Genomic DNA, 14,503 nt, shown 5'->3' with positions numbered 1-14,503 from the left:
GTCCATTTCCTTTCTTAAATTATTTTAGATTTGGGGTATATGTGCAGGTTTGTTACATGTGCATACATTTTCAGTGCTCTTGTATTTACATTTTAATCTGGATGTTATATCTCACTTTACAGAATTTTTTTCACAGTTATTTCTCTCTAGGGTTTGTGGTGGAACACATGTAGACAGAGAAATAGTTGTTAGGAAGACATAGACCTGGTAGTTTGTCACTCTGAAGTGGGCTGTCAGCTGAAAAGCTTGAAGACCATGGGTCTAGACAGACAGCTCATTCCAACTACAACTATCATAGATTGACCAACTCCTGAGAATTTATGCCATTTACCTACCTTACTGGGCCTTCCAATAAGATAGACTAATTTTAATAAGAGTTTCTTATTTTCCCTCCTTAACGCTTTGTGGGAGATACTGTTGGGTGGAAATAATGTCAGTGTAACCTTGTCAAGGCCTGTACCTCTTTTATTCTTCATGTTTGTATTTGTGTGGGGCAGGGGACTGTGTGTACCTGGGGTTGAAGGGAAGATGAATTGTCTTCCCCTCTGCCTTTCCCTCTAAAATCAGTGCCACAGTGAGAATCAGCAAGTGGCCAGGTGCGGTGGCTCACGCCCATAATCCCAGGACTTTGGGAGACTGAGGTGAGTCAATTGCTTGAGTCCAGGAGTTTGAGACCAGTCTGGGCAACATGGTGAAACTCCAGCTCTACTAAAAATAGAGAAATTAGCCAGGCGTGATGGTGTGCACATGTAGTCCCAGTTACTCGGGAGGCTGAGCTGGGGGGATCACCTGAGCCTGGGAGGTTGAGGCTGCAGTGAGCCATGATCAGCACCACTGCACTCCAGCCTGGGCAATCAGAGTGAGACTCCTGGCTCAAAAAAAAAAAAAAAAAAAAAAAAGAAAAGAAAAGAAAAGAAAAAAAAGCAACTGTCTGCCTCCTGAAGAAAGATGAATCTGTGCTAAGTGGCCTCCTGGCAGGAAGCAACCAGCCTTTAGGGACCAGCTGACAGGAAGTTGCCTCCAGAATTAGTAGAAGTTTGCTGGCTGGTGGTGTCGCCGCTCCCTCCAAACCTCTTGACCAGGGGTTATTTGTGAATACAAAGAGATTGTGTAGCACCCTAAGGAGTTGGGGTAGGAGAGCGTCCAGAATAAATACATAGGTGGGATTGACCACCTCCTCACCTCCTCCTGTTGACTTCTAGATGTCACCACTTGAAATTTTTCTCTCCCACTCTTGCTATGTGATCTCACGGAGCCTTATAGATATCTTATGAAATTGCTTTAAAATTGTATCCTCCAAAGATTCCTTGAGCAAAAAGCCTTGCACAGTATAGATGTTCAAAAACTGTTGTGTAAGTGAAGGAAGCACAAGTTAGACCCACTGTACAAGGGAAATAGCTGAATGAGCATTTTCTAACCTAGTGTTCCTTGTATTGGATGTTAATATGTTACGAAAACTCCTGACTCTGGTTAAATACCATCTTTAAAAATTTTTTTAATTTATATTTTTATATATTTTAAGACAGGGTCTCACTCTGTGGCCCAGGCTGGAGTGCAGTGGCAATCATAGCTCACTGCAACCTCTATCTCCCGGGCTCAAGCTCCCCAGTAGCCTTGCAGCAACCTCCATCTCCCAGGCTTAGCCTCACTAGTAGCTGGGACTACGGGCCCCTGTCAGCACACCTGGCTGATGTTTTTTTTTAGTTTTTTTTTTTTTTAAAGTAGAGTCGGGGTCTCAGTATGTTGCCTAGGCTAGTCTCAAACTCCTGGTCTCATTTTCTTTTTTCTTTTTATGAGACAGAGTCTCAGTCTGTCGCCCAGGCCAGGGTGCAGTGGTGCGATCTTGGCTCACTGCAACCTCCACATCCCAAGTTCAAGTGATTCTCCTGCTTCAGCCTCCCCAGCCTCCCGAGTAGCTGGGACTATGCTACCACGCCCGGCTAATTTTTTCGTATTTTTTAGTAGAGACGGGGTTTCACCATGTTGGTCAGGCTGGTCTTGAACTCCTGACCTCAAATGGTCCACCTGCCTCGGCCTCCCAAAGTGCTGGGATTGCAGGTGTGAACCACTGTGCCCAGCCTTTTTTTTTTTTTTTTTAAATAACTGCTGGCCCAACCTTGAGAAGGGTGGTGACGTCCTTTATTTAATGTAATATAGATTGGCTGGAGGCCCGAATCTTGGTTTCCATCATCATCCTAAGTGAAGTTTTACAGGATTGGATTAGAGAGGAATTCTAAAGGGCTGTATGCCCTTGTGATGGTGATTAGCCGTTAGTAATGGGAAATTCCTGGGTGGAGATATTTATTTAACGTGCATTCATAAGCCGGTGAACACTGAACTCTATCTCTCCCAAGCTTTAACAATCTTTCCTTGACACATCTACACCTAAACATTTGTAGATTTTTAAGAAGAAAGATTGGAAACTAGATTGCTTCACCCATAAACCCTGTCTTATTAAACCCTAATTGGGCTCTGTGCCCCAGCATATCCTTGCAGTCTTCTGTTGGGTATCATAAGTGAATTGTTGTGCTCCTTTATTATTATTCAAATTATAGAGGCTGTGACATTGGAGAACTGGATCTCTTACATAATAAAATATTCAGAATTCCAGACTTTCAACATATAAAACATCGTAAGCAATAGATTAATCACAGTGTTACATGTGTCACCAGATTTCTCCTCTGCTCTCTCTTAAACTGCCTTCCAAGTGACCTGTCCCTTGTGACAGTTTTTTAGGAGAAGGTAAAGGATCCACCTCTGCTTGTTCGTGTGAAAAATACTGATGCCTGGGCCCATTCCTCAGAGATTCTGATTTATCATTCTGAGGTACATCTGGATATTTAAGAGCTCCCAGATGATTTTAATGTGTAACTAAGGTTCAGAGCTACTCTGTTAGCCAAAATGCTCCTCCATTTAATCATGTACTGAGTTGTTCCCTTTTTAGCAAATGTTAGAATTTACAATAGGTGGGAGGATTACCTGAGCATTTATTACATGCTTTATATTTTATTACATACTTTAACTGTCTTACTGTATTTTCATGGTGACCCAGGAAGTTGACAAGCATTTGCTTCGAGGGTTCCTCCCCCTTCACTAGAGTCCTGCCGAGGCTGTTGCCTCACCATTTGGTTCTCTATTTCATGCCTGGCATTTCATCTGTAACTTCATGGCAGGCTGGCATTTTGGTGAGGGCAACTCTCCACAGCCACACCCATTAAGTGTTTAAAAGGGTGCATTATTTCTCATCTTTTGAAATATTTTGCGTTCTGTGTTTTTCAGGAGCCTATTAAAATTTGCAGAATGTTTGGTAAGCTCTCTAGGGTTGTGGAAAGCACACTCCCTAGAAGCTATTTTCTGTCTTTTACCACTGATGAATAGTGTGACTTTGAATAAATATGTAACATTTTGTAAAAGGGACATTATTAACTTGCCAGAAGACATGCACTAGACTAAGTGGAAGTCCTTCTTTGGCTATGAAATTTCAGTAGTCTCTGACTTTCTTTAATGACGTGACATGACTGACTTCCCATTTCTCCTCTTACCATTATTTTCAACTCAAATCCAGCTTTTATGCCTCTATGTCCTCCAGGTAAGAGAGACTGAAAATCAGTAGGTCTTGACAACTGATTAAATGTGAACATTGAGAGAAAGACCAAAGATGTCTTTAGGATAGATGTCTTTAGCCAGGCGTGGTGGCGCACGGGGATGCATGTTTTCAAACCTGCCTGATTCTCTGAACCTCCTGGGACATTTGTTAAATATGCAAATTCACAGGTTCCACTCTAGACCCACGAATCAATCTCCAGAGGTGGGCCTGGTTGGGCATTTTTATCAAGTTTCTAAGTGATTCTTGTGATCAGGCAAAAGTGGGAAATTGTGCTATAGGAAATTGAATCTAGTTGGTGCTCGATAAATGAACATATATATATATATTCTACTAACTCATTTAATTTTTTTCCTGGAGTTTTATAGATTAGCTAAGATCCACACCCCAGAATTAGAAGAATGAACACTATTTGCAAGAGAAAAAACTGAACATTTATTATCGTGTTCTACTTAGAGGGGCTTTCAGTCTCTGATACTTAGTGATGCTTATGTGACACTTAAATATGTTGATAGCAAATGGTGATAGGTTTCTTTTGAATGTATTTCATAATCTGTCCAGTAGAGAATTAGACTGTGGAGCTTTGTGAGCATATTTTTAGGGTCTATGCCGTGGACTATGTTTTAGATGAGATGGTGAAATTAGATATTTTGGCATTTAGCCATTGAGTTTCTTAATAGACAGTTCTATGGTCTGGTTTATATTAAGTTTCATCAATAGCAAGCTTACTGTATTTGTAATGATTTTGCTTATAATTTTAATTTTGAATATGTGTTCTTTGATACTGAAGGTTACATTTGGCAAAGGAACATTGCCTGGTACTGAATCATATATAGTTATATTGCTTTGTGTAGAATACATATGAATGTCTTTTACCTTGTAGCATTGCTGTCATAGGGCTATGTAATTACATTTAAAAACTTTTTAAAAATTTGCTCACACTATAGTCACTGTTGGATGAATGTCATGATAGTGTATTAAAATTCATTTAGGTTTCACTTTGACTTCCACATCTTTTTTTCATGACATGACATGAGTTACGTCTTATTAAAAATATATATAGTTTTCTGTTATGAAAGTTATCTATAAAATAGGAAACTTAGAAATTACAGAAAAATATATTGAAGAAAGTCATCCTTGAAGAAATGTCAACCTTCAGAGTCTACCTATTTTTCAGCCTTTTATTTCAGCCTGTTTTTTTGAGATGGAGTTTTGCTCTTGTTGCCCAGGCTAGATAGAGTGCAGTGGCGTGATCTTGGCCCACCGCAACCTCCACTTCCTGGGTTCAAGCAATTCTCCTGCCTCAGCCTCCCGAGTAGCTGGGCTTACAGGAATGCGCCACCATGCCTGGCTAATTTTTGTGTTTTTAGTAGAGATGGGGGTTTCTCCATGTTTGTCAGGCTGGTCTCGAACTCCCGACCTCAGGCGATCCGCCCACCTCGGCCTCCCAAAGTGTTGGGATTACAGGTGTGAGCCACCGCATCGGCGTTTTTTTTTTGAGATGGAGTTTCGTTCTTGTTGCCCAGGCTGGATTGCAATGGCAGCGATCTTGGCTCACTGCGACCTCTGCCTCCCAGGTTTAAGTAATTCTCTTGCCTCAGCTTCCTGAGTAGCTAAGATTACAGGCATGTGCCACCATGTCCGGCTAATTTTTGTATTTTTAGTAGAGACAGGGTCTCACCATGTTGGCCAGGCTGGTCTTGAACTCCTAACTTCAGGTGATCCATCAGCCTCGGCCTCCCAAAGTGCTGGGATTACATGCATGAGCCACTGTGCCCGGCCTATTTCAGCCTTTTATTATGTCTAATTATTCTGGTTTATAAACAATGACCTAATTAGTAAAACTTGAGCCTGTACATAGTGCTCATTTTGCTTTACATTAGCTTATGTGAAGCTGGGACAGAATAAGACATTGAGATATTTTCAGATATTATTCTGGTGCAATAATTCAATCATGTAGTCTAGATAGCCATTTTCATGGGTACTTTCAGTGCCCATGACATATAATAAGGGTATATCTTGTGCCAGGCACATTGCCTTGGATTTAGACTATTAACAGTCTCTTGGCTCTCAGGTTTTATAGTTACCATTCTAGACTGAGCGCATCCATAGGCAACTAAAACTGTATGGTACTGTAAGGAGACTAGTCAGTCAGTCTCCTTAAATCTATTCTCACCTCAGTCCATTCTGAATAGAGTTACCAGAGTGAAATTCTCTTAGTAGTGTTCTTATGTTATTTTCATAAAGCGTACAGTGGCCTAGATGGCTTTAGACTTCAGGATTCTTTACCATCTAGCCCCTTTTACTCTACCAACTTATTTTGTTACTTGTTGACATAATCTGTAGCCAGGAAAGCCTGCATACAGTTTGTTATCCCTCTGTCTTTGCTCATGCGTTTTCTGCATCTGGAATCATCTTCCTCTCTTCTCTCTGCTGGTTCATGTCCCTATTTTCTTTCAAAACTCTCTTTGAAATTTACATTTTTCAGGAAGCCTTTCTCTTTGGCTTGCTGGACATCTGACCGGCATGTTATCTTTTCATATTTGTTCAAAATGTCATTTTCAACATTTACTCAACTAATTAATATCAAGGACTTGCCATCAATTCTCTTTTTCCCTGCATTGGGTTAGAAACCTAATTTAACTTCAACACTGACATATTGGTATTTTAGAGTGGGAAATTGAGACTTTGATAGGAAGGTGTTTGTTGCTGCTGCAGGTAATGTGCCTGAACCCAACTGACATTACACCCAGAATTATAGAGGGCCAAGTATAGTACTGTGTAAAAATGACAGAATAACCTCTTAAAAAAGAAAAAATAAAAAAGAATAGCAAATAGAAACACCATTCTCTCAAACTTTGATTTGTAGAAGCAGATGTTTTGTAAAAAAAAATTTTTTTCCCCTTAGACTCATTGATATTTATCTTCTTCTATGGGATATAGCCCATTACTATTTGTTTTGCTATTAAGATTGTTTGGGAAACCCTTCTAAAGAATCAGACAACAGCGTTACTGGGAGCTGAGGTAAGGAGAACTAACAGCTCACCGAGGCTGGTGGAGGAGGATGGGCAGGGCTGAGCGGCTGAGCACTGGCACAGGTGTCCGTCCTAATGTGCCAGGCAGACTCTTGATGAAGCCAGCTTTTTCTGCATGTGCAGAGGTTATTTCTGCTTTTAGAATCTGAGCACTAGATTATAAAATAATTCAGATCTTGTTTGTTTTCTAAATAATCTAGTGTGAAAATCCTGAGAATTTGTGTCTTCCTGTGAGGCTTAGGTGGAAGTCTGACTTAGTATCTGGAACATGAGGTATTTAAGGGCTAATATAAATGTAAAATATTGAATTGATGATCTTTACTTAGTATAACCAACCATGTGTGAAACACCAAACTGGAAAAATTTTACCTTTCTCCTCCAAAATAAAACTTTTTTTTAGAGTAACAAATCAAAGATTTTAAAGGCTGATAGATGATAAAATACCTGAATTCACGGGTGACTGTCTCAAACCAGTCTGGAAAATATTACTTGTTATAATAGCAGTACATCAAGGGACTTGGCAGTTCCTCCTCAAAAAATAGAAAATGAATGTATGATAAGAGCTTAACATCAGACAGGAAGAGGCTTGGTTATACTCATGAAGAGAGAAATTAAGATGAATATGAGGATGAAGAAACAGCAAAGCCTCTAAGGACAAAAGAAGGGTCCAGAAACTACAGTTAGATGATGTGATGGAGCCGAATTATAGAAAAAGACAGTGGAAAGGACAAAGTGGAAAAAATAACCAAGGGATGAGGACAGAGAATGTTCCGACTCCCGTCTGGGGCTACTCCGCTAGCCTTTAGTGTCCTTGCTTTCCTGTGGTGCTGTGATTCTTCAGCCTAGGTCTTGGCCTGTCACTTTGTGGTACTTTGCTCCTGATACAGCTTCCTGATATCATTAACTTCCAGGGCCCCAGCAGGGGGAAGTGTGCGGACAGATGCAATGACTTAAATTAGCACAGACTAGGATCCTGCAGTGAATGAACAGCGATGCTGTTGCTGCATCTTTCTCTGCTACCTGGCCGCCCTTTCTTTTTTCCTTACCTGGTAGAGTAACAAAATCCCCAAAGGGGTCTCCTGCATACTGTGGGATTGGAAGAGAAGTGGAAATAGTTGCTCAGAGCAAGCCTTGAAAATCCCCTGTCACAAAGGAATTACCTGGAACAGTTACCCCAGAGTTACCCGTTTTAGTTTGTGTGTTGTAGGGTATAAACTCTCACACCATAATATGACTGCTTAATGATAAGTCAGCCCTGTCCCTGTTAGGAGACTTTGCTGAGAACTGAGGCACACTTACAGCAATATCTTTTTGTTCTAAGTGAAATAATCTTTAGATATTAGTGATCACTGAATTCCTCATTATACAAGTAGGAAAAACACAGGCTTGGGGAATGTCAAGTGACACTGTATACGCCATTTTAGCATTTTAGTAGATGAGTTGAAATTAGGAACAAGGTCTCCTGAGTCCTAGTCCACAGTATCTTTTAAAAACAATAACCTCACTTGTCTCTAAATTCCTAGGGTTAGTTTTGCCCTCATGGAGCAAAGAAACTGAGCAGGCCTAGGTTGTAGGTGACTGGCACAAAGAGACTGAGAGAAGGAAGCCTGTGGTGGAGTGTTCTGTGATTTTAGAGTTTTTGTAGCTCCTGCTTTTGCTGTTGAAGCTGAGCAAGGGGCCTGCAGCTACCCCTGGGCCTGGCTGGTGTCCCATTTTTGAGGCCCCAGAGTTATTTTTAGCCGCAGGGCCTTGGAAGCAGGTGTGGTCCGGGCTTGAAGGCCACGCCTGGAATGTGTTCAAACCTTGTTGTGCATGTCTGCTTAGGAGCTGAGAATAGTGACGAAGCCATTGCATATACTTTGTTAGAGGAATTTGCACTTTTCCAAGTGAGAGCAATGAAAGTCATCTTGCGTTGCATTTGTGACACTTTAAACAGGTTTATTTTGGAAACTTTATAAATTGAATGATCTTTTACAAGTATTAGTGAATATAATTAAAAAATACATTAGCTATAAATCCTTTGTATACCAAATAAACTTTTGTATTATAAGAGTCATACCCTAACTGACCTATTTTTAAAGTCTAGCTTCATAGTCATAAACATGTGATTTAAAATTTCATTTTTCTCACTTCCCCCACCCCTCAAACATTATTGCTGTTTAAAATAATTCTTTATAAATCCATTTCAGCTTTTACCTTGAGGGTAAACATTAATTTCCATACATTACATTTGTTCATCTTCTTTGTTTTTTTTTTTTTTTGAGACAGAGTTTCGCTCTCGTCCCCCAGGCTGGAGTGCAATGGAGCGATCCCGGCTCACTGCAACCTCCGCCTCCCAGGTTCAAGCGATTCTGCTGCCTCAGCCTCCCGAATAGCTGGGATTACAGGCATGCACCACCACGCCCAGCTAAGTTTTGTATTTTTAGTAGAGATGGGGTTTCACCATGTTGGCCAAGTAGTTCTCGAATTCTTGACCTCAGGTGATCTGCCCGCCTTGGCCTCCCAAAGTGCTAGGATAACAGGCATGAGCCACTGTGCCCAGTTCTCATCTTCTTAACCTTTGCCCACCCAAACTTTTATAATGGTCCTGAGAAGAAGGAGTACAGTAGGACCTGGTAATAGTTCCTGGGTCTGAATGTATGTCATGACCTTATATTAATATTTTTCATAATTTCCAAGGTTATGGAAAAGAGTATGACAATTACGTTTAATTACCTAAGTAAAACTATTACTATGTTTTATACATATCCATCGTATGTGTTTGTATGCCTGTGGGTGTTTGAGGTTCTATTTTACCTAGCTGTTCTGAGACTTGACTTTATTCTCAATATATCATGACCATCCTTGGCTGTCAATAAGTATATTTTTACACCATCGTTTTTAAATGTTGCATACCATGTTGCAGGATTTATCATAATTTATAAGTTACTTAAGCCAGTCTGTCCCTTTCTTATACATGTAGGCCTTTTCCAGTATTTTTTCATGTGTATTTTAACTGAAAGATAAAGCACTTTCTTGTAAGTCACTTTGTTTTGTTTTTTTTTTGAGACGGAGTCTCGCTCTGTCGCCCAGGCCGGACTGCGGACTGCAGTGGCGCAATCTCGGCTCACTGCAAGCTCCGCTTCCCGGGTTCACGCCATTCTCCTGCCTCAGCCTCCCGAGTAGCTGGGACCACAGGCGCCCGCCACCGCGCCCGGCTAATTTTCTGTATTTTTAGTAGAGACGGGGTTTCACCTTGTTAGCCAGGATGGTCTCGATCTCCTGACCTCATGATCCACCCGCCTCGGCCTCCCAAAGTGCTGGGATTACAGGCGTGAGCCACCGCGCCCGGCCTTGTTTTAAGATGAGTCTCACGCTGTCATCCAGGTTGGAGTGCAGTGGTGTGATCTCGGCTCACTGCAGTGTCCACCTCCCAAGTTCAAGCGATTCTCCTGCCTCAGCCTCCCGAGTAGCCGGGATTACAGGCCCATGCCACCACATCTGGTGAATTTTTGTATTTTTAGTAGAGACGGGGTTTCGCCCTGTTGGCCAGACTGGTCTTGAACTCCTGACCTCAAGTGATCCACCCACCTCGGCCTCCCAAAAGTAGTTTAAAGGAGATTCTTGAAACTACCTCCTTGTTGTGTAGACTTTTTTCATGCATATGTCTTGCTTAACATGTATTTGATATTTTACTACGTTCCATATTGTAAAACTAAGATTCTCTTAGTAGATACAACACACTTTTGGCATTGGAAAAATTCTGGGAAAAAGTGCTGGGATTACAGGCATGAGTCACCATGCCCAGCCATAAGTCACTTTGAATTTATTCTGTGAGCCATTTTGAAATTATCTTCAGGAGAATGTAGTTCAGCATTCTAATTTTATTTATTTTAGTACTAAGAGATTTAAAATAGATTAAATTATGGAATATTACTATTGTGAGCTTGAGCTTGAGTGCAGGTGGGTGAGAAGTTTGGTGTCGGTGTTGCATTCCATTGCTTGCTCCTAGAGCCTTCCAGTCCTGTTTGGAAAAATTAAATTATAACCCCTCTCCCCTTAGACTGTGTTCCAAATTGTTCAGATGTTTACTCTGGTCTTAATACCTTTAGTCAATTAGTTCTTTGTCAACAAAGTATACTATATCTTTCATGTATTGGAATTTTGTTGTTCTGGGGCTGGTGTGGACTAAAGGAGGGGGTGCATATATTAATAGATAAAGATTATAAACTTATTTTAGTGTTATCAACCCCTTCAATATAGTAATCTAACTTGTAAAGGCCTTGTGTTAAGTATTTGATCCTTCTGACAAGGAGAGAACCTTGAAAGCATTTAAAAAATTTTTAATGTAAAGATCCTTTAAACTACCTCCTTGTATAGACTTTTTTCACACATATATCTTGCTTAATGTGTCTTTGATATTTTACTACATTCCATGTTGTAAAACTAAGATTCTCTTAGTAGATACAACACACTTGTGGGGTTGGAAAAAATGTATAATATTAACATTAATAGTAATCTTTCTTGTTACAGGATTTCTTTTCATTTCTTTGCCAAGAAATGCACTGTATAGGAACCACAGTTTCTCTCTTTGTAGTTTTAAGGAAGAAATTGTACTAAATTTTCTTATATATATGTTTTTTCACACTGAAGCTAAAAGTTCAATTGCCTGCCTCAAAAGCATGGACAACAAAAGCAAAAATAGACAAATGGGATTATGTCAAGCTAAAAAGCTTCTGCACTGCAAGGGAAACAGTCAACAGAGTGAAGAGACAACCTACAGAATGGGAGAAAATATTTGTAAACTATACATCTGATAAATAGTTAATACCTCAAAAACATCAGGAACTCCAACAACTCAATGGCAAGAAAGCAAGTAACTTGGTTGAAAAATGGGTGAAAGACCTGACATTTTTCAAAGAAAACATGCAAATGGCCAACAGGTCTATGAAAAAATGCTCAGCATCACTCATCATCAGAGAAATGCAAATTAAAACCACAGTAAGATAGTATCCCACTCCTGGTAGTATGGCTGTTTTCAAAAGACAGAAGATCAGTGTTGGTAAGGATGTGGAGAAAGGAAAACCCTTATACACTGTTAGTGGAAATATGAACTATTTATAGCCATTATGGAAAACACTATGGAGGTTCCTCAAAAAAAATTAAAAATAGAACCACCATATAATCCAGCAATCCCATTACTGAGTAAAGAAAATGAGATGTTTGCATACCCATGTTTATTGCAGTGCTATTTACAATAGCCAAGATAAGGAATCAACCTAAGCGTCTATCAAAATATGAATGAATAAAGAAAACGTGGTATATATGTACACAATGAAATTCTATTCAGCCTTAAAAAATAAGGAAATCCTGTCATTTTCTACAACATGGATGAACCTGGAGGACATTGTGTTAAGTGAAATAAACAAGACACAGGAAGACAAATACTGTGTAATTTCACTCATATATGGGAGCTGAAAAAGTTGATCTCATGGAAGTAGAGAGTAGAATGGTTACCAAAGGCTGGGATGTTTAATGGGGAGGGGAAGCCTGGGGAGATGTTGGTGAAAGTAAATAATTATTTAGGAGAAATACGTTCAAGGATCTATTGTACAGCATGGTGACCACAGTTAACGAGGATATATAGTATTCCTGAAAAATTCAAGGAGTGGATGTTAAGTGTTCTCATCACAACAATGATGGCTATGTGTGGTAATGCACTTGTTAGTAGAATTAACCATTCCACAGTGTATATCTACTTCAGAATATCGTGTTGTACATGATAAATACATACAGTTTTATCCATTAATTTAAAAAGTTTGGCCGGGCACAGTGGCTCACGCCTGTAATCCCAGCACTTTTGGAGGCCAATGTATGAGAATTGTTTGAGCCCAGGAGTTTGAGACCAGACTAAGCAACACAGTGAGACCCCGTCTCTACAAGAAATAAAAATTAGCCAGGTGTGGTGGCACATGCCTGTGGTCCCAGTTACTTGGGAGACTGAAGTGGGAGGATCACTTGAGCCCAGGAGTTGAAGGTTGCAGTAAACTGAGATCATAGCACTGCATTCCAGCCTTGGGTGACAGAGCAAGACCCTGTCTCAAAAAACAACAAAAACAAAAGTTCAGTTTCCTGGAAATGCATCATTTCCAATAGATATAACCATAGTTCTGAACAAAGCATGAACACCTGCCACATCTTTTATTGGTATTTGCCCAATTCAGCATTATCTTGGCTAGTATATTCATTGGCCCCAGAAAGCTACAATCTTCCAGGTATCCACATAGCTCAGTCTCTTACCACTCTCCTCTCTCATGTTCTCAAGGTAAGGCCTTCTGTGACTACTCTGTTTACAATTTAACAGCCACCCCCGCACACCCTTTGCTCTTGCTCTATTTTTTCTCCCTAGTTCTTATCGGCGTCTATCATAGGAAATGTTTTGTTTTTGTTGTTGATCGTGTCCCCCATCACTAAATTAGAAGCTCCAGAAAGGCAGTAATTTTTGCCTTGTTAATTTATAACCAGGCAGTACATTAATAACTTATAAATTATAATGAATACTTTTTTCATTTATTGCTACATTTTCACAGTGCCTGGCACATATTAGGTGCCAAATAAGTACTTGTTAGTTGACTGAATTAGTTACAGTAGGCCTGATGAATTATAGTGATTTGGCAGATGTTCAAGAAAACCAGGATGCACGAATTAATCCCCATCTGACCTCTGTTTGGCTTGTTCTAAATCTTTCTTCTCCTGCCTCCAGCCTACCTTTACTGAAAATACCCTTCTAAAACATTTTCTCCTCAATTCTCAGATTAAGCCAATCCCTGGCCGTATTTCCTCTTGCCCAGTAACTTCATCCAGGGATCCTTCCATTTCTACCCTCCCAAGACCACCTCCATACACCGGCCCCTCTCCCAGTAGGTAGGGTCCTGAGTTTTCAGGCAGCGTGTCTGGAGGAAGCATTAAGTGTAGAGGGGTAGGTGAAGGAGCCTGTGGGCCAGGAGGAGTGTGTCTAGGATACATACATGGGTGGCAGAGGGAAAGAGGAAGGTTGGGAGGGGGAAGGAGGAGGAGAGCTCAGGTGGGTCAGGGAAGGGGAAGCGGGTGAAACAGGTGATCATAAACAGGAAGCAGTACTAAGAAAAAGACAAGAGCTCTGATTGAGCCAATACCAGGAGGGGAGTGCTCCTTGCCCTGAACAGAAACTTTGGTGAAGGCTTCTCACAGATTTGGCCTCTGCCTGGGCTGGCCTGTGCCTAAAAGCGCAGGCATTATAGGTAGTCTTTGAAGGCTGACTGCTATTCCAGCCTTTATCTGTGGGTCCTTGAGATGTATGTAAACAACCTGAACCTCTGATTGGAGGGGCGGCTTTCAACAGTGTGGTATGTCAGTGCGAGGCAACTGGGTTCTACGGTGCGGATAACTGCTGTCTCCAGGTCTAGTATCATCTAAATAGTTTTGCTTCAAGCAGTCTCATTATTGCCATCACTTGTCAGAATATGTGTCCTCAATTTTTGGGTAAGGAAATATGATCAGACATTAATAGGCAGCTAAAAAGCACATTAAGTTTGTAGTTTTACTTTGTTTTATACTTTTATAAATAAAAGTACATATTATAAAGTATATATTATACTTTTAAGTTCTGGGGTACATGTGCAGAACATGCAGGTTTGTTTCATAGGTATACACATGCCATGGTGGTTTGCCGCACCAAGTTCTTAGCTTTCTTGATTTTGGTGAGGGTGGTTTTTTGTGTTTGTTTTTATTTTTTTAATTGAATATATTTGCCAAATACCAGAGCTCAGAATTTCTATCAAGTTTATCTTAACCCACAGCTTATGAGATAAAGTTGCTTTAATCTGTGTAGCATTGAGGCAGTCAA

At 40.4% G+C, this 14,503-nt stretch overlaps 1 protein-coding gene across 6 annotated transcripts in view, besides 3 other annotated features; it reads left to right on the top strand.

The window, feature by feature from the left end:
• DUSP16 (dual specificity phosphatase 16) overlaps positions 1-14,503 on the top strand; it is an 89,582-nt gene that overhangs the window by 21,015 nt on the left and 54,064 nt on the right. The window lies entirely within an intron of this gene.
• Positions 819-868: a silencer, noted in NCBI's record as "silent region_4254". NCBI's record gives its function as "represses an Ori minimal core promoter by ATAC-STARR-seq in GM12878 lymphoblastoid cells {active_cell/tissue: GM12878}" and the evidence as "EXISTENCE:reporter gene assay evidence [ECO:0000049][PMID:35858748]".
• Positions 6,151-6,652: an enhancer, noted in NCBI's record as "H3K27ac hESC enhancer chr12:12688131-12688632 (GRCh37/hg19 assembly coordinates)". NCBI's record gives its function as "activates a minimal SCP1, AML or CMV promoter by ChIP-STARR-seq in naive H9 embryonic stem cells {active_cell/tissue: H9 hESC(naive)}" and the evidence as "EXISTENCE:reporter gene assay evidence [ECO:0000049][PMID:30033119]".
• Positions 6,834-7,799: an enhancer, noted in NCBI's record as "H3K27ac hESC enhancer chr12:12686984-12687949 (GRCh37/hg19 assembly coordinates)". NCBI's record gives its function as "activates a minimal SCP1, AML or CMV promoter by ChIP-STARR-seq in primed H9 embryonic stem cells {active_cell/tissue: H9 hESC(primed)}" and the evidence as "EXISTENCE:reporter gene assay evidence [ECO:0000049][PMID:30033119]".

This window comes from Homo sapiens, chromosome 12 (assembly GCF_000001405.40).
Source record: "Homo sapiens chromosome 12, GRCh38.p14 Primary Assembly".
In the NCBI taxonomy this organism is placed as follows: domain Eukaryota; kingdom Metazoa; phylum Chordata; class Mammalia; order Primates; family Hominidae; genus Homo; species Homo sapiens.
This window is presented reverse-complemented; position numbering and strand designations above follow the sequence as displayed.